This window comes from Homo sapiens, chromosome 17, assembly GCF_000001405.40.
Source record: "Homo sapiens chromosome 17, GRCh38.p14 Primary Assembly".
In the NCBI taxonomy this organism is placed as follows: Eukaryota; Metazoa; Chordata; class Mammalia; order Primates; family Hominidae; genus Homo; species Homo sapiens.
The window spans coordinates 38,664,733-38,689,336 of NC_000017.11; the positions used below are offsets into that span (position 1 = coordinate 38,664,733).

The following is a 24,604-nucleotide window of genomic DNA, read 5'->3' on the forward strand; positions in this document are numbered from 1 at the left end:
TCGGAGAGCAATATGAGGTTTTAGTTATTTCTCATCTCCAGTCCTTAGCCCATTGTTGGAGACAGTTAACGCTTAACGCTTGAGAAATGTTAGCTCCTTTCTCTTCTCCTTTAAAACTGTGACACAAAGGCTGGGCACAGAAGCTCACGCCTGTAATCCCAGCACTTTGAGAGGCCAAAGCGGGTGGATCACTGGAGGTCAGGAGTTCGAGACCAGCCTGGTCAACATGGCAGAACCCCGTCTCTACTAAAAATACAAAAATTAGCCAGGCGTGATGGCTCACACCTGTAATTCCAGCTACTCGGGAGGCTGAGGCAGGAGAATTGCTTGAACCTGGGAGGCAGAGGTTGCAATGAGCTGAGATCACTCCACTGCACTCCAGCCTGGGCAACAGAGCGAGACTCTGTCTCAAACAAACAAACAACAACAATAAAAACTGTAACACGTAGCTTTATACATAAAACTAAAATCTGGAAACAGCCCAAACATCCATCAACAGGAAAACATATACATTGCAGAATATTCATTCAATCAAATACTACACGGTGATAAAATGAGTTAACTACAGCTTCATGCAACAGCATGAATGAATCCCATGCATAATGTTGAACAAAAGAAGCCAGACCCAAAAACGTACCTTCCATTCTTATGAGGGTCAAAAACAAGCCGAACGGATCTTCGGTGACAGAGGCCGGCATGGTGGTCATCTCCGGGTCAGGAGATCAACTGGGAGCAGGCCTCACACAGCCTCCCAAAGGCTGGAAGTGTTGCTTATCTAGGTCTGGGTGGCGATCACACAGGTAATGTACATGTGTAATGATCATCAAGCTGAAATTCTGGTGCATTTTAGAGTAGGTAACTTCCCTCTGTTTGTTTAAGTGCCATGATTTTGTAATAAATCATCGTGGAAGCCGGGTAGAGTGGCTCATGCCTGTAATCTCAGCACTTTGGGAGGCTGAGTCAGGAGGATCCCTTGAGATCAGAAGTTCAAGATCAGCCTGAGTAGCATAATGAGACCCCCATCTCTACAAAAAATAAACAGAGCTCACGCCTGTAATCCCAGCACTTTGGGAGGCCAAGGTGGGCGGATCACTTGAGGTCAGGAGTTCTAGACCAGTCTGGCCAACATGGCAAAACCCTGTCTCTACTAAAAAAATAGAAAAAAAAAAAATTAGCCAGGCATGGTGGTGCACGCCTATAGTCCCAGCTTCTCAGGAGGCTGAGGCAGGAGAATCGCTTAAGCCTGGGAGGTGGAGGTTGCAGTGAGCCAAGATTGTGCACTCCAGCCTGGGTGACAGAGCGAGATTCCATCTCAAAAAAAAAAAAAATTGGCCAGGCACGGTGGCTCACACCTGTAATCCCAGCCCTTTGGGAGGCTGAGGCGGGTGGATCACAAGGTCAGGAGTTCGAGACCAGCCTGGCCAACAGGGTTAAACCCCGCCTCTACTAAAAATACAAAAATTAGCCAGGCATGGTGGCAGGCACCTGTAATCCCAGCTACTCAGGAGGCTGAGGCAGGAGAATTGCTTGAACTCAGGAGGCAGAGGTTGCAGTGAGCCAAGATTGCACCACTGCACTCCAGCCTGGGCAACAGAGCAAGACTCCGTCTCAAAAAAAAAATTAAAAATAAACAGAATTAGCTGTGCATGGTGGCACGTGCCTGTGGTCACAGCTACTCGAGAGGGTGATATGGGAAGATCTCTTGAGCCTGGGAGATCAAGGCTGCGATGAGCCAAGATCGCACCACTGTACTCAGCCTGGGTGACAGAGTCAGAGCCTGTTTCAAAAAAAAAAAAAAAAAATCACCATGGATGGCAAGTCTGCGTCTGAGAGGCACTTTCTGTTACAGAGTCCCCTGATTTTAGGTGATGACACTGAGCCCCAGAGAGGGTAAAACACTCAACACTCAGCTTGAGTCGCTCAGCACATCTGTGGAGAGTCCACACCCTAAGGAGGGGACTGCATGTCCTGCTTTCCCCATGCCACTCTAGGGACCTTGGGGGCAGGCTCTGTGTCTTTGTGTCTCTGGAACAGAGCTCTGGGACCTCTACATATTGGTGGGGGCTACTCCCACCCCATAACAGGTTGCTGCTGGGTGGTGAAACATGGCAGCAGTGTGGTCATTTAGAGCACAAACTCAAAGGACACAATTCCGTAGCTGTATGGGCTTAACCTCTGTGAACCCCAGTTTTCTCATCTGCAAAATGGAGCTAATAGTACCACGGTTGGGCGCGGTGGCTCACACCCGTAATCCCAGCACATTGGGAGGCCAAGGTGGGCAGATCATTTGAGGTCAGGAGTTCGAGACCAGCCTGGCCAACATAGTGAAACCCCGTCTCTACTAAAAAATACAAAAATTAGCCAGGCATGGTGGCCCACGCCTGTAGTCCCAGCTACTAGGGAGGTTGAGGCATGAGAATCACTTGAACCCAGAAGGTGGAGGTTGCAGTGAGCCAAGATTGCGCCACGGCATTCCAGCTTGGGCAACAGAGTGAGACTCTGTCTCAAAAATAAATAAATAAATAAATAAATAAATAAATAAATAAATAAATAAATAATAGTACCTACCTCATGTTGTGTCCTGAGGATTACATGAGCAACTAAGCATAATATAACAAGGCCTGGTTCCAAGGAAATGCCATTACAGTGCTTGCTATGATAACCACTCAGGAGGAAACCTAGTCAGACAGACCAGAGCTACTTTGCTCCTCCACTGGCTGTGTGACCTCAGGCAAGTTAATTAACCTCTCTGAGTCCCATTTCCTCATCTGCTAAACAAATAGTACTTATCTATTGCTATGAAAGCAAAATAATGCCTGTAAAACACCTGACACCTGCTTAAGTTCCTTGTGTGCAGAGACCACGTCTTGCACATCGATCCCCCTCAGGGCTCTCACTCCATGGCCTGGGAGAATGAATCCCTTCCCCAGCCACCCTTCTCTGGCTCGCCATCCTCTTTCTGGTGCTAGCAGACAGCAGCATCTAGTGGACAAGCTCTGGAACTGCATTCTGGCCAAGGGTCACTCGCCAAGCTGCTGTGCAGTCATTTAAATGAGGCTTTTTAAAAATGCTTTAGACAAGGGTGGAGGGGTCAGGAGGAACGGAGGTGGGGTGAAATGCATTGGGCAAGTATTCATTAGGTGCCTGCTGTGTGCAAGGCACTGATCCAGGACCTTAAAAAATGAAGCAAGAGATACAAGATCACTGTAGAAGGACACAAGAAAAATCACAAATAATTATAACTTTGTCATCAATACCCTAACTTTTTATCTTAGAGAAAATGTGAACACAGCATAGGGGGACTTGGCACACTGGACAGTGTCTTCTCAGGAAGTGTTTTTTGTTTTTGTTTTTGAGACAGGGTCTCGTTTTGTCACCCAGGCTGGAGTGCAGTGGAGTGATCACAGCTCACTGCAGCCTTGATCTCCCTGAAGTGGCTGAGCAATCGTCCCACTTCAGCCTCCAGAGTAGTTGGGACTACAGGTGCACGCCACCACACCCAGCTTGTTTTTTGTTTTTGTTTGTTTGTTTGTTTTTGGTAGCATCAAGTTCTCCCTATGTTGTCCAGGCTGGCTCAAACTCCTGGGCTCAAGTGATTCTCCCCGCCTTGGCCTCCCAAAGTGCTGGGATTACAGACACAAGCTACCTTGCCAGCCTTCTCAGGAAGTTTTTACAATTGCAGGGGCGATTTTTTTTTGAAATGGTTGTTACATGTCAATGACTCTCAGTTAAGGCCAAGGCAATAAAATGAAAGCTTAGGTCAGGAAGGTTCTGCCTCGAGTCCCCTGACCCAGGTTCTCCATAGACAGAGGGGAGCGGGAGTGTCTGGCCCCAAAGCCGCACTCGCCCTCCACACTCCACAGTCCCTTCCTACCAGACACAGAAGAGTGAAGAGGGTCTAGAGGTGGCATGAAGCACATCTAACTGGGGGAATCAAAAAATACTTCATGGGAGAGATGACATTTTGCATTGGAGAATGAAGGTAAAGAAAGCAGGGAGGGGCATGCTGGGGGCGCTGGGGAAGGAAGTGCATTCCAGCCTAGTAGACCAGGTATACCTTCACTGGTATAAAGCGAAGTAATGGGAACCAAGTTGGTTGAGGGAGCTGGGGGTTAAGGCCAAATCACAGAGGGCTCCAAATGACAGGCCAAGGAGGCTGCATTTAATACTATCAGGGGACCCACTCAGTAAGAAGGTAAACTGATCTGAGGGCATCAGAGAAAAACCAGACACCCAGAAACTATTAATAGTTAGGTGGCTACTGTCATAGTCCAGCCTAGAGGTAGGGGACACTGCACCATGATGGAGTGGAGATTAGAGACAGAATTGTGAGATCCTTGGGAGGGGAGAAGCAGGGGGAGGCTTGGAAATAGATAGCTGTGGGTCAAATGGGAGGACCCAGCTGAGAATTCAAGGTGCTGAGTCCAGGGGAAGTAATGGGGAGAAAAGCAGAGCTGTAACCAGAATGTGGACTTGACCAGGGGGACTGCTGTGGGCAGGGAGCTGTGGGCAGGGACCAGGAGCTTGGTCTTTGACAGGGGCAAATGAGTTGCCATTGTCCCTGTGGAGATGCGGGACCAAGGCTCAGGAGGGGTGCTGGAGGGAGAGGAGGCAGGGACAGTCAAGTGGGAGTCATTTACCCATATAGGTGCAAGCTGATGACCTAGGGGAGGAAAACAGAATCCTGCGGGCAGATAGGGTGGAGGGCAGGCGCCACCGGACTTCATCGGACTTTGTCTTTTTAAAGCTTCTGGGGGAGGGGGGCAAGAGAAGGAGGAGATGGAAGAAGACAGAGGCGGGACCTTTGGGGACAGAGACCCTTGTGAGTGTCCAGCAGTGTCACAGGCTATGCAGAAGTCCAGGAGTGGTGGCAGGGAGGCAACTGTTGAATTTGAGGTTGGGGGCTCTCCTGGCTGACCTTGGCAAAAGCGGTTTCAGGGACAGAAGTCAGGCTGCAGAGGTCTAAGAGGTGAGAGGCAGAGGAGCTGGAGGCGGCTGATGCTCCCGGGAGGAGGGAGGAGACGGTAAGCAGGGCTGGGATAGGGGAAGGTGAGCGAGGGGTTACTCTGGGGGTCCTGCCAGACCCTGAAGAGGAGGGTAGAGACCCAGAGGCACATGGAGAGGAGACCCTCTGAGACCCTTTGAGACAGAAGGAAAACAGGTGATGCTGTAAGAGCTTAGAGACCCAGACAGAAATAAGACTATGACCACCACATCCCTGACAAACCAACGTGGTGGCCACCAGCCCTAGAGGACATGGGACTGGAGGAAGGGAGGGGTAGAAGCAGGGGCTGAAGACACCTGGGAGGGAGAGCAGACTTCCTCAGACCCTCTCGGGCTCCAGCGTATTGGCGTGGGAGAGGGAGTCCCAGATTCCCGGGAGCTCAGAGCCTAGGGAAAGCCAGGGGTCCCTTTCCCCTTTCCCCAGGCGGCTCCTGTTCGGAGAAACTTGTGGCCCTCGCTTGGAAGCACGCTTTTCCCTATTCCAACCCCAAATACTCAGTACCTGTTTGCTTCCCCCAGAAGTCTGGGCAAGTTTCTTTCTTTTCTGGGACTCAGTTTCTGGGGTGGGCTGAATGATGGAACCCAAAAAGATGTGTCCAGGTCCTAATCCCCAGCCCCCACTCCCCCAGAGCCTGTGAATATGACTTCATTTGGAAAAAGGGTCTTTGTAAATGTAACTTAATTAAAGATGTCAAGACGAGATCATCCTGGATTGTCTGGTGGGCCCTAAAGCCAATGACAAGTGTCCTTGTGACAGACAGGAGAGGGGAGGGCCATACCATGGGAGAATGGGAACTCTGCAGCCCCAAGTCAAGGAACACCTGGGGCCACAGAAGCTGGAAGAGGCACGGAGGGGGCCCTTCCCGAGAGCCTTCGGAGGGAGTTCGGCCCTGCAATGCCTTAGGTTTGGACCTCTGGTCCCAGTAAATGGAAGAGAAGAAATATCGGGGTTTGTTGTTGTTGTTTGAGATGGAGTCTCACTCTGTCGCCAGGCTGGAGTGCAGTGTGGTATGATCTCGGCTCACTGCAACCTCCGACTCCCGGGTTCAAGCGATTCTCCTGCCTCAGCCTCCAGACTAGCTGGTATTACAGGCATGCGCCACCAAGTCCAGCTAGTTTTTGTATTTTTAGTAGAGACAGGGTTTCACCATGTTGGCCAGGATGGTCTCGATCTCCTGACCTTGTGATCCACCCGCCTCGGCCTCCCAAAATGCTGGGATTACAGGCGTGAGCCACCTTACCCGGCCGCTTAAATATCTGTCTTTTAAGCCACCAAGTTTGTTATGATTTGTCATGGCAGCCCTGGAAACTAACGTAGTTCCCTATTCTGTAAAATAACTAGAATTAAATCTTATTTGGCCAAAAGGTGTGTTTTTTAACTCGCCACCCCGCCCCCTTCCAGGTTGAGTTGTAACCCTTTCACTTGCAGGGCGGGGGTGGGGGAGTGAGGGTGGGGGCAGGTGATGCAGGGAGGAAAGAACCTAAATTAACAGCATCTCCTCCTGCCCCGAAGAGGAGGAAAGTCCAAGAAGAGTATTTCATGCCCACCAGCCCTTCCTCCTTCACCCAGAGCTCACACCATCATCCCGTGCCCGGCTCCAGGCAGGCGGGTGGGGCAGACGCTGACCCGGAGCGCGTTACTAAAACCAAGGGGTCTTTGAAAATCAGGGAGTCTGCCTTTCCAGACTTCTGACAGCCCCCCTCTTCACAGCGATTCTCTCCCCACCCCTTGTGTCTTCTTCCTCCCGTTCTCCATTCTTGGGGGGCAAAATAAGATGGAGACTCCCGAAGCACAGGGTGGAAGGCACTCCCCCACCCCTTCTTCCTCCTCCTCCCACAACACAGCTGGAGGGGGAGGGGAGGTCAGCAGGGTTCACAGAGGCCAGATGTTAAGGAAAAAGAGAGAAGTGCCCACCCACCCCACCCCCACCCTCACCCCCAAGGAAAGAAAAATGAAAGGAGACAGTTTTTAAAACAAACAAAACTTTTATGGTCCAAAACAGTTTTTCTCAAGAATCTGCTCTATGCAAACAATAACAACTTTTTACAAAGCATTTTCACAGAAAAGGAGACAAGTCCTTCCCCAGCGTGGGAATTGTTCCTCTCGCACCTCGTTTTCGGGGGAAGAGGGGGCGCTATTCACTAGTGCGGGATGGAAGGCGCACTGGGTCCCTCAGTTGTTCGGCAGCTCCAAAAGCCCCAGCTTCCCTTCATACCTCAACTTGCCATCTCCCTAAGACCTAAGCTCCCCTGACCTCACCTGGGTGGAGGAGAAAGCACTTCCAATCCTCTCTGACTCAAGATCCTCCTAGCTGGAGGGCATGGCAGAGGGCATGATCCAGGCCTATCTCACCCCTCCCCTGGAAAACAGAACCTCTGACCCCAAACCTAATCCCCTGGCCCTGCCCCTTTCGGATCCATCAGATCTCTGACAACTCCCGCAATCCCTGAGGCTGGGGTGTTGCGGGGGGAAGCTTAAGGTACCTCAGCCCAGGTTCCATCCAGACTCAAACTTTGCCCCTTCAAACCCCAGGGGACTCTTGAAGTTAGGCCAAGAGTCCTTTCATTTACCACCTCTGCAAAGTGCAGCTTGTTTTGTTTCCACTCTTTAAGGGGGCTGAGTTTGGGTGTCCAAAGAATGGACTTGGGCCTGCCTTCCACCTCCACCCCCTCTCATCCATAAATCGGTGGAGGCCCTCGAAAGGCGACTTGTTTGGTCTGATTTTATTGATTTCTTCCACCTTCTATTACTTTCCCTGGGACAGTGTCTAGCCCCTTCCCCAGGCAAAGTAAGCACTTTCCAGGAGAGGAGGTCCCTCAGCCCTACCCGTCCTAAGGGAAGTAAGTTGGGGGAGGGGGCTGATTAATCAAGGTTGGGGGAAATCTTTCTCACCGGCCAGACCTTACACTCGGAAAGCAAACAAGGAAAAAACGGGAACTCCAAAACTGGACAAAAGGGAAAGGTCGGCGGCTGAGGCTGAAGATCTCACCAATTAAGGGTCACCTGCACTTGAGGGGGCCTAGAAAGGGGACAGGAAGGGGGTGATCTTCCTCTTACCCAAGTTCCCTCACCCATTAAAGGCTCCAGCGGTGCTTGGAGCGTTAGGGAAGGCCTGAGGGGAGCAAAGGGTTAAAGGCCTGGACAGTGGGGGTGGGGGATGCCCCCAGGGAGCTGCCAATCATCTCCCCACCCCCACCACAGCCCCGCACCCCAGGCTCGCCCACAGACACAGTAACAACCGGTTTGTCCATCACCGAGGTCTCTCTCTTCTCCCCTTTTTTTTGGGTGGGGGGGTGTCTTTGAGCGGTGGCCTCCTTTGCTCCCACTGGGGTGCAGGCCCTGCCTCCAACGGTCCGAGATGGAAGGAGGCAGGGATTGGAATCTATGTCATCAGCCTTCTCCCGACTCCAGCCCTGGGTTCCTCTGCAAAGGATGAGGGGGAGGGACTGTCACCCCGAAAACTTAGGTGCTTGAATGAAGATCACTGTTATTTAGGTCCCTCTGCCCACAGCTCCTAAAATGTAAAGGAAGGGGACAAATGTGAGAAACGGGGCTCCCTCCTCAAGCCCGCGGTTTGGCCATGGTCCCAACTTTTCCCCTTTGGCAGAAGTCCCACGGTCAGCTTTCATCCATGTTGATCCCCCAGAATTTGAGGCCAGGGGGCTCAGGGACAGCGGGACCCCCCATCTGCCACCTCCACAGCGGGTGGGCGGGCGGGGGCTTAGAGTCTCCCTGGAGGCGAAGCGAGGATGCCGGCTTTAGGTCTCCGTCTTCCCCCACCACCAGGGCCGGGGGGCAGGGGAAGCAGTTGAGGAGGCTGAAGGTGCTCGTGGTGGGGAGCGTCGGTGCAGGGCGGCGGGGCTGCGCGGTGCGCGGAGGGGGCGCCGGCAGCCGGCGTTTCTTGGCGGCTCCCCGAGCCGGCCCTTTCGCAGGCGGCCGCTCTGGCCCCCGGCGCAAACTCGGAGTGTCCAAGGCGAAGCCCTTCGCGTAACACCAAAGTTTCGACCGGCGGATCAGACGATCGAAATGTTCCTGGCGGAGATCTCCGGGTGCGGCCGGAGCCGGGCTGGCCGTCGAGGGGCTGGCCGCTGGAGCCTCGGGGGCGGCCGGCGGGGGGTTTCCATCGACTTCGGCAGGCTGGCCGGGCAGGAACGGCCGCGGCGCCGTCCCGGGACCCGCGGGCTCGGTGGAGAGGCCCGCAGGTGGCGACGGAGGCCGGGAACTGGGTTCCTGAGGCGGGCTGGCGGCTGGGCCACGCTGAGGCTCGAGACCCGGGGCCGGGCGAGGCGGGGCCGAGGCGAAGCTGGTCGTAGATTCCCGAGGGTGCGGGGGCGCAGGGCAGCGGCCCGGAGGTGCACAGGAGCGAACGCCGAAGTGCGGGAAACCGCCTCCGCCCTCTTCCTCCTCTCCGCGGCGGGGGCACGCTGCGACGTCCGCATCCTCGCCGGCGGCGGTGTTAGGAACGCCGGGCCGCCCGGTCGGTGCCCAGAGGTGCTTCAGGCCATCCGGGGCCCAGCCGCCAGGGCGCAGGGGGGCCTGAGGGCCCCGCAGCACTGGGGACCGCGCCGCCAGCTCCCCAGGCCCCGGGCCCAGAGAGGACGCCCGGGGCTTGGCAAGGGCGCAGAAGGCGAGGGCACGCAGGCACAGCGGAGAGAATTCCTGGGTCCCCCGACACGGCTTCCGGGGCGTGGGGGAGCAGGGCGACCCTCGCGGGGACGCCGGCACTGCCAGGCGGGGCGCAGGGCACAGGGTCTCCATGGAGCAGCCTGAGGGGTGCCCACTGAGCGGGTCCAGGTCCCAGCGGCGGGATGCCCTGGCTGCCCGAAGAGCCCACGGGTGAGGGGAACATCGCCCCCCGTCGACGGGGAGGTCTCTGCTCACGGGCGCCCCCGGCCCGCCACCCGGGGCCGCAGAGCTCGGGCTCCCTCTTCGCTCTCCTCACGCGGCCCTCCCGGCGGCCGGACTCCTGGGTCCCTGTGAGTCCCGGCGGGGTCGGCCGCCCTTCTGCCGCCGCGTCCCCTTCGCAACCCCGGCGGGAGACCCTCTCGAGTCGCCCGAAGCGCAGAGGCAGGGGAAACAAAGCGGCCGGCGGCCGCGGGAGGCGGGAAGGACCCCGGGCCCGGCACCCGGTGCCCGGGCCCAGGCGGCGGGGAGGGCGCCTTCCGCCCGCTCGGTTTCTTTCTTCCCCGCTGGCTCCCGGAGACCGCGTTATAGAGAACTGCCCCCTCGCTGCCCCAATACCAGCGCCGGGGCCGCGAGCCCGCCGCTGATTGGGCCGCACCGCCCGTGACGTTAGCCCGGACCCCACCCCTCCGGCGGCACCGCCCCCGTCCCCATTCCGCACACAGACACACACACGTGGACCCGGCGCGGCGGCGGCTGGGAGGGAGCGCGGGAGGGAGCGTGCGCGGGTGGGATCGCGAGCGGCCAGATGCGCCGCCGCACGTGGCCCGGTGGCGTCCTGGGATTTCGTCGTCGCAAAGCCACTCGTTTTTTCCCGAGCAGTCACGGTTTTGCATCTGTAAAATGGGACGGTTCATATCTGCCCTCTTGGGACTAAAAGAGCTATGTGAATCAACGTAGATGAATCTCAGAAATAATGTTTAGGGGAAAGATGAAATGAGGCAATGGTTGTTTACAAGCTTTGCACAGCAGGGATTCTAGCGGGCCGTGAATGGCCCCTAAAACAGTGCGTGGCACACAGTAGGCTCAAAAATGCTGTAATGTATAAGTAGTTAATAATTCAGTACTTGTATGCAAGATGAACAAAAAAAATAAATTTGGAAGGGTGGGAGTGTTATTACATCCATGGAAGCCGATAAATAGGCTGTCTCGGTATCTATTTCCATTTCTCTGATGCAGTATCTAAATACTCCGCCTCAACTAAATTCCGAGGGCTGACTCTGCAACCCCTGACCCCCAATCCCAGGATGCCCCCCTCTGAGGTTTGATCTGCCAAACCGGTTGAAGAGGCCAGAGGAGGGCACGCGCAGACCCTCACTCTCATCTGCCCCAAGGAAAATAAAGAAAAAGTGAATTCCCAGTACAAATTCTGATAATGCAGCACACACCCCCACCCTGTTCTATCCCCTTAACCTTCTTTAGTTTCTGCATAGCTTATTGTTACATAAAAGTCTGTAAATGGATTTATTCTTTAGTGTCTGTCTCTCCCATTAGTCTGGAAATGAGTTGACGAGAACTTTGTCTTGATCATTGGTGCATCCCCCACTGCCTAGAACAGTGGCCAAGATATAATAGGTGCTCAATCAATATGTGTGAATGAATGAATGAGCAAGTGAGCGAGTGAATGAATCCTTGGGATATTTCTCTCTTGATAAAAATCAGGTTATTGGAATACTGCCGTTTCCTATCTGTGGAAATACAGAGATTGGTATGATGACTTGGGGTAAAGGTGTGGAAGAATGCTGGGGGCGGCCCCACAGATAAATATCTTATTCTGGAGCCAGGACAAGAGAGGGTTTCAGAACGGGGACAAATGATGCAGCTTGCCTCCGGGCCCTTCTAGCAGTGACAACAGAGGTGTAGTTTCCCTATGTGTCATCAAATAACATCTGGGAGGACAGGGGTAAGGAGGATCTGCCTCCCCCACCTGCAAAGTCCAGAGGTAAAGTCCCTAGGTGGGGCGAGGGTTTGAGGAAGGAGGAGGTGTGATGTTCCATTGCCCAAAACACTCACCCTCTAACATCTGCAGAAGAGCTCTCCAGGGCAGTTGTCACAAGGGGGGATCCTGGGGTCCTGCCAAGTCATGAAGCTGAGCTGGGTCTAGACTCCAGGGCTCATAATTGCTCAAAAAGCCCACCTCTACACACACACACACACACACACACACACACACACACACACACACACGGAAAGTTCTGGAAGGATGATCTTCATGGCTGTCTCTTCTGCAGGACAGTGCTGAGGACTCATCCTCAACAACAGTGCCTACTTGCACTCCTGTGCCTACCACAGTGTAGACACAAGGAGAGAATGCCCAAGAAAATGATCAGTATGAATAAATGAGTGAATATTACATAACAGTGCAGATCAATGGCCTCTTCTTTCTCTGCCTCCAAAAGCTCCCAGCTCCCCCTTCCCCATGTGAGTTTGGGGGCTTTATTGAGGGGTCATTACGATTGTGAGTGCTTCTCTCTGCCTCCACTATCCCTACTTCCCCTTGCTCTCATCAGGCACCCCAGAATATGGACTCAGGGATGGAATCACTACAAACAGTAGGAGAATAGTGTGAGTGCCTCTCCAGCTGAAAGGAGATCATCAAACCACCCTTTATGGCCTGGATGGGGGCGGGGGTGGCGCTGTGCAACCCTGGGCAGGTCACCTAGACACTCTAAGTCTCAATGTCCTTATCAGTGAAAAGGGGACAACAGTGGCTTCCTCACATTGTTGGGAGGGTTGAAACATGATGTGAGCAGTCACCAGAACTCACGTGGGCAGGCCCAGCTGCTGCAATTACCATTTCCTCCGGTAGAGGACACTCGACCCCATCCTCAGCCTGCTATGAGGGCGGCAACACCCTTCTCAGGAACCTCTCCTCCTCATAGGAGAAAAAGAGGGACAAGGCTGGATGCCGGGTCCCATCTAACACTTCCAGAGTGAAGGCTAGAAAGGGCCCCTCTGGATCCAGAAGCCAGCCCTTCCCTTTCCTTGGCCCATCTAGGTCTCACCTGGGGCAGTAAGGACTGTGTTCAAGGATTTGGGAGCAGGAGACCTGCCCGGTTGCCCCTTTTGGGGAACTGCACCCCAGGCGTCCAACCCCATAGTAACTTCTGTAGTACTTACTGCCCAGTCTCTGTTCTAAGAACTGGATGTCACTTAATCCCCATAACAGCCTATGAAATAGACCTTTTTTTTTTGAGACAGGGTCTCACTCGGTCGCCCAAACTGGAGTGCAGTGGCGCGATCTCAGCTCACTGCAACCTCTGCCTCCCGGGTTCAAGCCATTCTCCTGTCTCAGCCTCCTGAGTAGTTGGGACTACAGGCGCGCACCACCACGCCCAGCTAGTTTTTGTATTTTTAGTAGAGACGAGGTTTCACCATGTTGGCCAGGATGGTCTCGAGCTCTTGACCTTGTGATCCGCCCGCCTTGGCCTCCCAAAGTGGTGGGATTACAGGCATGAGCCACTGCGCCTGGCCGACACTATTTTTAAAAGTGAACATACCACACATAACCCATTTTAAGTGTCCAATTCAATGATTTTTAGTAAATTTACAGTTATGCAACCATCATCATAGTCCAGTTTTGGGGGTTTTTTTGAGACAGTTTCACTTTGTCTTCCAGGCTGGAGTGCAGTGGCACAATCTCAGCTCACTGCAGGCTTCACCCCCCGGGTTCAAGCAATTGTCCTGCCTCAACCTCCCAAGTAGCTGAGACTATAGGTTCCCACCACCACGCCCAGCTAAATTTTTTTTTTTTTTTGAGAGTCTCACTCTGTTGCCCAGGCTGGAGTGCTCAATCTCAGCTCATTGCAACCTCCGCCTCTCAGATTCAAGCAATTCTTGTGCCTCAGCCTCCCAAGTAGCTGGGATTACAGGCAGATGCTACCACGCCCGGCTAATTTTTGTATTTTTAGTAGAGACAGGGTTTCACCCTGTTGGCCAGGCTGGTCTCGAACTCCTGACCTCAGGTGATCCGCCCACCTCGGCCTCCCAAAGTGCTGGAATTATGGGCGTGAGCCACCGTGCCCGGCCCCATAATCCAGTTTTAGAACATTGCTTATAAGACTCCTCCTCCCCACTTGTAGCTCTCCCTTCCCATCCCCAGCCCTGGGTGACTAATCTTTCTGTCTCTATAGAGTTCCCTTTTTTGGATATTTTATATAAATGGAATCATGCAATATGTGGTCTTTTGCATCTGGCTTCACAAAAGCATAATGTTTTTGAGGTTTACCTGTGTTGTAGCGTGTATTGGTAATCTGTTCCTTTTTTTTTTCTTTTGAGATAGAGTTTTGCTCTTGTTGCCCAAGCTGGAGTACAATGGCACAATCTCAGCTTACTGCAACCTCCGCCTCCTGGGCTCAAGCGATACGCCTGCCTCAGCCTCCCGAGTACCTGGGATTACAGGCACCCGCCACCACGCCTGGCAAATTTTGTATTTTTAGTAGAGACGGGGTTTCTCCGTGTTGGTCAGGCTGGTCTTGAACTCCCGACCTCAGGTGATCCGCCTGCCTCAGCCTCCCAAAGTGCTGGGATTACAGGGATGAGCCACTGCGCCCGGCCTGTTCCTTTTTATTGCTGAGTAGTAGTCTGTTGTAGGGATATGCCACATTTTGTTTATCCAATCACATTTGGGTGTTTTTCACTTTTTGGCTATTATCTATAATGCTGTTATGAACATTTGCTATACACGTCTTTTGTGAATATATGTTTTTATTTCTCCTAAGTAGACATTTAAGGGTGGAATTGCTGGGTCATATGCTACATTTATGTTTAACCTTTTTTTTCTTTTTCTTTTTTTTTTGAGACAGGGTCTCACAGTCTCATTCAGGCTGGAGTGCAGTGGCACAGTCAGGGCTCACTGCAGCCTTGACCTCCTGGGCTCACGAGATCCTCTGCCTCAGCCTCCAGTGTGGCTGGGACCACAAGCCTGAGCCACCATGCCCAGCGAATTTCTTTTTAAATTTTTTTTGTAAGACAGGGTCTCGCTATATTCCCCAGGCTGGTCTCAAACTCCTCGGCTCAAGGGATTCTCCTGCCTCAGCCTCACAAAGGGCTGGGATTACAGGCATGAGCTACCATGCCCAGCTGTGTTTAATTCTTTTAAAAACTGCCAAGGTCGGGCATGGTAGCTCACACCTGTATTCCCAGCACTTTGGGAGGCCAAGGCAGGCTGATGGCTTGAGGCCAGGAGTTTGAGACCAGCCTGGGCAACATGGTGAAACTCCATCTCTACAAAATACAAAAATTAGCCGGGAGTGGTGGCATGTGCCTGTAGTCTCAGCTACTCAGAAGGCTGAGGGTGAGGAATTACTTGAGTCCAGCAGGTCAAGGCTGCAGTGAGCCACATTCATGCCATTCTGTGCCTGGGCGGCAGAGTGAGACCCTGTCTCAAAACAAAACAAAACTAAACTAAAAACTGCAAGGCTGTTTTCCAAACGGGCTATTCCATTTTACATTCCTATTAATATCCATGATATAGGCTGGGCACGGTGGCTCACGCCTGTAATCCCAGCACTTTGGGAGGCTGAGGTGGGCGGATCACCTGAGGTCAGGAGTTCGAGACTAGCCTGGCCATCATGGCGAAACCCCGTCTCTACTAAAAAAATTTAAAACTAGGCCGGGCGCAGTGGCTAACACCTGTAATCTCAGCACTTTGGAAGGCCAAGGCGAGCAGATCACAAGGTCAAAAGATCAAGACCATTTGGCCAACATGGTGAAACCCCATCTCTACTAAAAATACAAAAATTAGCTGTGCGTGGTGGCGGGTGCCTGCAATCCCAGCTACTAGGGAGGCTGAGGTAGGAGAATCGCTTGAACCCAGGAGGTGGAGGTTGCAGTAAGCCGAGATTGCGCCACATCACCCCAGTCTGGTGACAGAGCGAGACTCTGTCTGTAAATAAATAAATAAATAAATAAATAAATAAGCCAGGTGTGGTGGTGCACGCCTGTAATCCCAGCTGCCCAGATTCTCGGGAGGCTGAGACAAGAATCGCTTGAACCCAGGAGGCGGAGGTTGTGGTGAGCCAAGATTGCAGGACTGTACTCCAGCCTGAGTGACAGAACAAGACTCTGTCTCAAAAAATAAATAAATAAATAATCCATGGTATAAATGAGGACATTGAGGGAGATAAGTGACTTGCCCAAGTTACACTGCTAGCAAGTGGTAGAGCCAGAACCCAAACCCAGGTAGTTGAGTCCTAAGTTAGCTCTGGTAACCACAAGGCTACCCCACAACAATGAATCCAAGAGGGAAGCCATTTCTCCACCCTGCCACACCCAGCCACCATCATTTAACCTTTCTTGGTCCCAGAATTCCCTAAGTCAGCAGGGCTGCATCACCCCCTAGCATAAACCCACATGTTCCTCTACCTCCTCTGGGAATTTGCACCCAGGGTTAACAGCTTAAGTTCTGGGCTCAGATGGGTCAGTTCACATTCCAGACCCATCATTTTACTAGCTTTGTGACTTTGGGGCAATTACTTAACCTCAGGAAGCTTTAGTTTCCTTATTTGTAAAACAAGACTAGCATCTTTCCTCATGCAATTAAAAAGGTATTATATGATGGAAAATTTCAAACCTACACAAAAGTAAATAAACATAATTAACCTCTGAGTACCCAATATCCAGCTTCGACACTCACCAACTCATGGTCAGTTTTGTTTCATTCTTACCCACCCACTTCCTCACTTAAAAAAAAAAAAAATCAAATTGGCCAGTATGATGGCTCACACCTGTAATGCCAGCATTTTGGGAGGCCGAGGCTGGCAGATTGTTAGAGCCAGGAGTTTGAGACTAGCCTGGGCACCATGGCGAAACCCCATCTCTACCAAAACAAACAAAAACAACAACATGTAAATTAGCTAGTCCCAGCTACTCAGGTGACTGAGGTGGAAGGATCCCTTCAGCCTGGGAGGTTCAGGCTGCAGGGACCTGCAATCACCACTGCACTCCAGCCCAGGTGACAGAGCGAGACCCTGTCTCAAAAAACAACAATAACAACACAATTTTATTTAGGTATGATTTATGTAATAAAATGCACATTTTAAGTGTACAGTTCAAATGGTTTTGCCAAAGGAATATGCCCATGTTACCACCACAATTAAGATGTATTATAGCCGGGCGCGGTGGCTCACGCTTGTAATCCCAGCACTTTGGGAGGCCGAGGCGGGTGGATCATGAGGTCAGGAGATCGAGGCCACGGTGAAATCCCGTCTCTACTAAAAATACAAAAAATTAGCCGGGTGTGGTGGTGGGCACCTGTAGTCCCAGCTGCTCGGAGAGGCTGAGGCAGGAGAATGGCGTGAACCCGAGAGGCGGAGCTTGCAGTGAGCCGCGATTGCGCCACTGCACTCCAGCCTGGGCAACAGAGCGAGACTCCGTCTCAATTAAAAAAAAAAAAAAAGATATATTATAGAACAATGGCCAGGCACGGTGGCTCATGCCTGTAATCAATCCCAGCACTTTGGGAGGCCGAAGCAGGTGGATCACTTGAGGTCAGGAGTTCAAGACCAGCCTGGCCAACACGGTGAAACCCCATGTCTACTAAAAATACAAAAAAATTAGCTGGATGTGGTGGCTCGTGCCTGTAATTCCAGCTACTTGGGAGGCTGAGGTGGGAGAATAACTTGAACCCAGTAGGCAGAGATTGTAATGAGCTGAGATTGTGCCACTGCACTCCAGCCTGGGTGACAGAACAAGACTCCATCTAAAAAAAAAAAAAGAAAGAAAGAAAAATATAAGATATAGAACAAACCCCAAACCCCATATTATTTTGTTTTGCTTTGTTTGTTTTTTAGAGACAGGTCTTGCTCTGTTGCCCAGACTGGAGTGCAGTGATGCGACCTCGGCTCACTGCAACCTCTGGGGTTCAAGTGATTTTCATACCTTAGCCACCTGAGTAGCTGAGACTACAAACGTGTGCCATCACGCACGGCTAATTTTTGTATTTTTTTGTAGATATAGGGTTTCACTATGTTGCCCAGGCTGGTCTCAAACTCCTGGGCTCAAACAATCCTCCTGCCTTGGCCTCCCAAACTGTTGGGATTACAGGTGCGAGCCACTGTGCCCAACCTAGAACAAACCCCATGTTATTTTTAGGCAAATCCAAGACATCACATAATTTCATTCCTAAATATTTCAATACATATTTCTATAAGGACCCTTTAAAAGTAAACATAACCCCAACATTATTATCAAACCTAAAAAAAATTAACAATTGGCCGGGCACAGTGGCTTATGCCTGTAATCCCAGCACTTTGGGAGGCCAAGGCGGGTGGATCACCCAAGGTCAGGAGTTCGAGACTAGCCTGATCAATATGGTGAAACCCTGTCTCTATTAAAAATACAAAAAATAATCAGCCGGGCATGGTGGCATGCACCTGTAGTCCCAGAAACTCAGGAGACTGAGACGGAAGAATTGCTTGAACCTGGGAGGCACAGGTTGCAATGAGCTGAGGTCACACCACTGCACTCCAGCCTGGGTGACAGAGTGGGACTCCATGTCAAAAAAAAAAAAAAAAAGAATTAACAATCACACTTTAACTTCATCAAATAGCCAGTCAGTGTTCAAATTTCTAATTATCTTATAATATTTTTTCTTTACAATTTTTAGTTTATTTGAATTAGGAGCCAAAGAAGGATTTCAAGTGGTTAATATGTCTCTCTTTTTATCTATAAATTCCCCCTTTATCTCTCTCTGTCTCTCTTTTTTTTTTTCCTCTTTGCAATTTAGTCATTGGAGATACTACGATTGTCTTCTAGACTTCCCATAGTCTGGAATTTACTGGCTGCATTCCCACCGTGAGATTTAATCAAACAATATTTATGGAACAATATTTATTAAGGACCTGCTATGTATAGTATTGTCAAATTTAGCACAGAGCTGGGTGCACTGGCTCACACCTGTAATCTCAGCACTTTGGAAGGCGAAGGCGGGTGATCACTTGAGGCCAGGAGTTTGAGTCCAGCCTGGCCTACATGATGAAACCCCATCTCTACTAAAAATACAAAAATTAGCCGGGTGTGGTGGCGAGTGCCTGTAATCCCAGCTTACAAAAGAGGAGGCTCTTGTAAGGGAGGCTGAGACAAGAGAATCACTTAAACCCTCGAGGCGGAAGTTGCAGAGAGCTGAGATAGTGCCACTGCACTCCAGCCTGGGAAATAGAGCAAAACTCCGTCTCAAAAAAAAAAAAAAAAAAAAAATTAGCACAAAATATACAGAACATATTTATTTATACTAAAAAACTTACTTATTGTTTATCTATAATTCAGATTTGACAGTGTTTTATCTGGCAACTCTATGTGCCAGGTGCTATTCTAGCACTGGGGACACAGCAGCAAGACAGACAACCCCCACCTCAAGGAGTTTGTATTCTAGTAGATTCGGGAAGCCAGCTAATGCACAGGCAAATAATATTCCTTCTGAAGATATTGTGAGGATTAAAGAAGAAACCTAGCCTAGGCGAGGTGGCTCATGCCTGTAATCCCAGCACTTTGAGAGACAAAGGAAAGAGGATCACTTGAGTCCAACAAGAGTTCAAGACCAGCCTGAGCAGCAACATAGCAAGACCCCATCTCTGCAAAAAGTGTAAAAATTAGCTGGGCATGGTGGTGCATGCCTGTGCCCCCAGCTACTTGGGAGGCTGGGACAGGAAGATCCCTTAATCCCAAAAGTTTGAGGATGCAGTGAGCTTTGGTCACACCACTGCACTCTAGCCTGGGTGACAGAGCAAGACCCTGTCTCAAAAAAAAAAAATAATTATTATCCATAGGTAAGAAAAAACATGGCCGGGCGCCGTGGATCACTCCTGTAATCTCAGCACTTTGGGAAGCCAAGGTGAGCAGATCATTTGAGGTCAGGAGTTCAAGACCAGCCTGGCCAACATGGTGAAACCCATCTCTACTAAAAATACAAAAATTAGCCGGGCTCGGTGGCGGGCACCTGTAATCCCAGCTACTCGGGAGGCTGAGGCAGGAGAATTGCTTGAACCCAGGAGGCGGAGGTTACAGTGAGCCGTGATCACGCCATTGCACTCCAGCATGGGTGACAGAGCAAGACTCCGTCTCGGGAAAAAAATAAAAAATAAAAAATGAGAAACTCACGTATTAATGCTTGGTGCATAGAAGTTCATGATCAATGTAAGTGCCTTTGGCAGTAGCTTAGGCTGCCTTTTCCCTTTCCTCCTTTCTTTCCTTGTCCCATCCCTCTCCGCATTCACTTAGGAACTATTCCAGACTTGCCTCCTCCTGCAGTACTTCCTCCATATGACCATGGTTAATTCATTCATTTATTTACCTCACAGTTACTGAGCACCCACCATGTAGCAAGCCCCAGGCCAGGCCCTGGGGACTCAGAGATGCTGGAGACGCAGTCTGGTGGGGGAGATGGACATTACAAGCTGATCTAAGAAGTAGCAATAGAGGGATGATCATGGTCCTGGAATCTTAGAGGAGGATGACCCTAGAGGAAGAGGAAGGAGGTCTTTTCAGAGAACGTAATCTTCCTCCTATGTCTACAGGCTGAACAGGAGTATACAAAGGAGGCAGGGCTGGGCATGGTGGCTCATGCCTGTAATCCCAGCACTTTGGGAGGCCAAGGCAGATGGATCACCTGAGGTCACCTCAGATCACCTGAGACCAGCCTGTCAACATGGTGAAACACCATCTTTACTAAAAATACAAAAATTAGCCATGTGTGGTGGTGCATGCCTGTAGTCCCAGCTATGCAGGAGGCTGAGGCAGGAGAATCACTTTGAACCTGGGAGGTGGGAGTTGCCGTGAGCCGAGATTGCACCACTGCAGTCCAGCCTGGGCGACAGAATGAGAGACTCCATCTCAACAAAAAGAAAAAGAAAAAAAAACAAAGGAGGCAGGAGAGAAGAGAGAAGAATTCCACCTGCAGAGGAATATGAGCAAGGAACCAAGGCAAGCAAGTGCCTGCCCCATGTGCTGCCAACTTCCAGCCATCAGCGTACCACCCCTCTGTTAAGTAGCAGGGTGCCCTGGCCTTGGCCTTTCTCATCCACCTTCCTAGAGTCATCTCATCTCCCTTGCACAGCCAATCACTCTCGCCATCAGGAGGTCTCTCCCATTAAAAAGCTAAATCTTCCTTGACCCCAGAGGCTACAGCCCTATCCCTTTCTTCCCTTCACAGCCAAGCTCCCCCGAGAGCTGTCTACGCACGTAGCCTTCCTTTTCTCACTTCCCACTTGCTCCCCAACCCGCTTCCATCTGCTTCCACCCTCGCCCGCCACCGGAATAGCTCTTGCTGAAGTCTCGGTGGCCTCCATCTCATCGAAACTGGCAGGCACTTGTCAGCCTCCCTGACCTCTCCGGGCAGCCCGCTTGGCTGGCCACTTCCTCCTCCGAGACATTTCCAGTCCCCTTCTTTCTGGACACCAAGCTCCCTTGCTGTCCTGCCTCTGGGGCTGCTTCCTCTTGCTTTTCAGTGCAGGCTCACTCTCCCCTTTTCAGCCCAAAATGTCGGGGCTCCTCAAGGCTTTGTCCAGAACTCTCTTCTCTCTCCAGACACTCTTCCCTGCTCACTTTGCAGTCAGCATTGGAGCCCCGGGGTTCAGCCTGGCCCTTTCCTCTCAGGTCTGGCCCAGACACCACACTGCCCACTCAGTCCACCTCGGACATTTCAAAAGCCCCTCAAACTCAGCCATCCCAAACCATCAGCACCCACTCCACCCCCTCTTCCCAGGAAACCTATCCTGAGGTGTGGCTCCCCCATCTATTCACTTCCACAGCCAGAAACCCAGTCCTCATCCCGACACCTCCAGCCCTCCAAGTCAATGCCTCAGCAAGACTCATCATACCCCACAGTCATCTTTCCAAAGCCACAAATCTGACTGTTACGCCCGTATTCAAAACCTTTTTTCTTTTCTTTTTGAGACAGGGTCTCACTCTGTCACCCAGGCTGGAGTGCAGTGGCACAGTCACAGCTCACTGTAGCCTCAACTTCCTGGGCTCAACTGATCCTCCCACCTCAGCCTCCCAAGTAGCTGGGACTACAGGTATGTGCCACCACACCCAGCTAATTTTTAAAATTTTTTGGGGGGCCAGGCCCGGTGGCTCACACCTGTAATCCCAACACTCTGGGAGGCTGAGGCGGGCGGATCACCTGAAGTTGGGAGTTCGAGACCAGCCTGACCAACATGGAGAAACCCCATCTCTACTAAAAATACAAAATTAGCCAGGTGTGGTGGCAGGTCCCTGTAATCCCAGCTACTCAGGAGGCTGAGGCAGGAGAATCTCTTGAACCTGGGAGGCGGAGTTGCCAGGAGCCAAGATCGTGCCATTGCACTCCAGCCTGGGCAACAAGGGCGAAACTCTGTCTCAAAAAAAAAAAGTTTTTGTAGAGTCGGGGTCTCACCATGTTGCCCAGTCTGGTCTTGGGCCAGCTGGTGAGCAAATGTGGTCCCAGCTACTTGAGAGGCCAAGGTGAAAGGATCGCTTGAGCCCAGGAGTTCGAGATCCATCTCTACAAAAAAACAAAAATCTGTTAATGGTTTCCTACTGCTTTCAGGAGAAAGACCAGACTTTTTTTAATTTTCTTTTTGAGATGGAGTCACACTCTGCTGCCCAGGCTGGAGTGCAGTGGCACGATCTCGGCTCACTGCAACCTCCATTTCCCAGGTTCAAGTGATTCTCCTGCCTCAGCCTCCTGAGTAGCTGGGATTACAGTTGTGCGCCACCACACCCAGCTAATTTTTGTCTTTTTAGTAGAGAAGAGGTTTCACCATGTTGGCCACGCTGGTCTCAAACTCCTGACCTCAAGTAATCTGCCCACCTTGGCCTCCCAAACTGCTGGGATTACAGGCGTGAGCCACCAAGCCCAGCCTAAAAGACTAAACTCTTAATTTGGCTCACAGGTAGTGTTACTTAACTCTAGCAATGCCACACACAGGTCTTCTTAGGGAAGGGGACAGTTCCCTTGCCTCTTCCTTCAGCCACTCATGTCTTCTTTAGGCCTAAAGCAATAAGCTCCTTCCTCTCTTTCCCTAAGCACTTGCTGTTCCTTCAGACTGTAAACTTTCCCCCCACATTGCTTCTCCTGGCCAACGCCTGCTCCTACTCAGAGCTCCACTGAGTCATCCCTTCCTCTAAGAAAACCTCTCTTCGCCCTTCCAGATGATGCCCAGGTCAGTTTCCACACTATCCCCACTTCAAGAGCTGTGTATATTTCCTTCAAAGATTTCCACTGGCCAGGCGTGGTGGCTCACGCCTGTAACCCCAGCACTTTGGGAGGCCAAGACGGGCAGATCACCTGAAGTCAGGAGTTCAAGACCAGCCTGGCCAACACAGTGAAACCTGCTCTCTACTAAAAATACAAAAATTAGCCGGGTGTGGTGGCACGTGCCTGTAGTCTCAGCTACTTGGGCGGCTGAGGCAGGAGAATCGCTTGAATCCAAGAGACAGAGGTTGCAGTAAGCTGAGAGGGCGCCATTGTACTCCAACCCGGGCAACAGAGCAAGACTCCATCTCAAAAAAAAAAAAAAAAAAAAGATTTCCATCTGCTAATCACTATTCATCTATTAGTGTATCTGATTATCCACCTCTCCTCCCTCTCCTCCGCCACTCTGTTTCATGGGGACAGGGACCACATTGAATTTTGCAGTAGCTTAGTAATTGGCACAGAGTTGGCAACCCAATACACTTTTTTTTTTTTTTTGAGACGGAGCCTTGCTCTGTCGCCCAGGCTGGAGTGCAGTGGTGCAATCTCAGCTCACTGCAAGCTGTGCCTTCCGGGTTCATGCCATTCTCCTGCCTCAGCTTCCTGAGTAGCTGGGACTACAGGCACCCGCCACCATGCCTGGCTAATTTTTTTTTGTATTTTCAGTAGAGACGAGGTTTCACTGTGTTAGCCAGGATGGTCTGGATCTCCTGACCTCGTGATCCACCTACCTTGGCCTCCCAAAGTGCTGGGATTACAGGTGTGAGCCACCACACCTGGCCACCAAATACTTTTTTATTTTTTTTTAAGAGACAGGGTCTCCATCTGTCACCTAGGCTAGAGTACAGTGGCATGATCATAGCTCACTGCAATCTCAAACTCTGGGACTCAAGCAATCCTCCCTCCTCAGCCTCCCAAAGCACTGAGATTACAGGCATGAGCCACTGCTCACAGCCAACATTTGCTAAAAGTGATTTAAAGTTTTCATGGAAGTTTACCCCTAAATACTTCAGGAAGTTTTCTTACTACAATATCATGATCATAGGCTGCGTGCAGTGGCCACACTTTAATCCGAGCACTTTGGAAGGCCAAGGTGGGCGGGTCACCTAAGGCCAGGAGTTCAAGAATAGCCTGGCCAACATGGTGAAACCCTGTCTCTACTAAAAATACAAAAACTAACCAGGCATAGTGGTGCGCCTGAAATCCCAGCTACTCAGAAGGCTGAGGCAGGAGAATTGCTTGAACCCGGGAGGCAGAGGCTACAGTGAGCCAAGATCTCTCCACTGCACTCCAGCCTGGGCAACACAGCGAGACTCAGTCAAAAAAAAAATACATATATATATATATATACCCACACACACACACACACACATATGTATATATATGTTTATATATAAAATGATCATACCTCAGAAAATTACCCATTCCTTAATATCATCCAATATGTAGCCCATATTCAAATTTACCAACTTGTCCTCCAAAATGCTTTTTTTGTATTTGATTTGTTCCAACCAAGATCTTTATTTACTTATTTATTTTTTGGGACTGGGTCTTGCTTTGTCGCCTAGGCTTCTGGCACAATCACAGCTCACAGCAACCTCAACCTCCAGGCCTCAGCCTCCTGAGTAGCTGGGACCACAGACGCGTGCCACCATATCCAGCTAATTTATTTATTTATTTATCTATTTATTTTATTATACTTTAAGTTCTAGGGTACATGTGCACAACGTGCAGGTTTGTTA

At 51.1% G+C, this 24,604-nt stretch overlaps 1 protein-coding gene across 1 annotated transcript, besides 4 other annotated features; it reads right to left on the reverse strand.

Annotated features, from left to right (window-relative positions):
- Positions 2,824–3,118: an enhancer, noted in NCBI's record as "tiled region #11404; HepG2 Activating DNase matched - State 12:CtcfO". NCBI's record gives its function as "activates a minimal TATA promoter and a strong SV40 promoter by Sharpr-MPRA in HepG2 cells {active_cell/tissue: HepG2}" and the evidence as "EXISTENCE:reporter gene assay evidence [ECO:0000049][PMID:27701403]".
- Positions 6,971–10,225, reverse strand: EPOP (elongin BC and polycomb repressive complex 2 associated protein). Its single transcript, NM_001130677.2, has one exon. It carries the CDS (start codon positions 9,761–9,763, stop codon positions 8,624–8,626), a length of 1,140 nt encoding a protein of 379 aa, NP_001124149.1. The 5' UTR covers positions 9,764–10,225; the 3' UTR covers positions 6,971–8,623.
- Positions 7,064–7,358: a silencer, noted in NCBI's record as "tiled region #8107; K562 Repressive non-DNase unmatched - State 8:EnhW". NCBI's record gives its function as "represses a minimal TATA promoter and a strong SV40 promoter by Sharpr-MPRA in K562 cells {active_cell/tissue: K562}" and the evidence as "EXISTENCE:reporter gene assay evidence [ECO:0000049][PMID:27701403]".
- Positions 8,633–9,468: an enhancer, noted in NCBI's record as "H3K27ac hESC enhancer chr17:36829618-36830453 (GRCh37/hg19 assembly coordinates)". NCBI's record gives its function as "activates a minimal SCP1, AML or CMV promoter by ChIP-STARR-seq in naive H9 embryonic stem cells {active_cell/tissue: H9 hESC(naive)}" and the evidence as "EXISTENCE:reporter gene assay evidence [ECO:0000049][PMID:30033119]".
- Positions 12,324–12,618: an enhancer, noted in NCBI's record as "tiled region #4536; HepG2 Activating DNase unmatched - State 8:EnhW, and K562 Activating DNase matched - State 5:Enh". NCBI's record gives its function as "activates a minimal TATA promoter and a strong SV40 promoter by Sharpr-MPRA in HepG2 and K562 cells {active_cell/tissue: HepG2 | K562}" and the evidence as "EXISTENCE:reporter gene assay evidence [ECO:0000049][PMID:27701403]".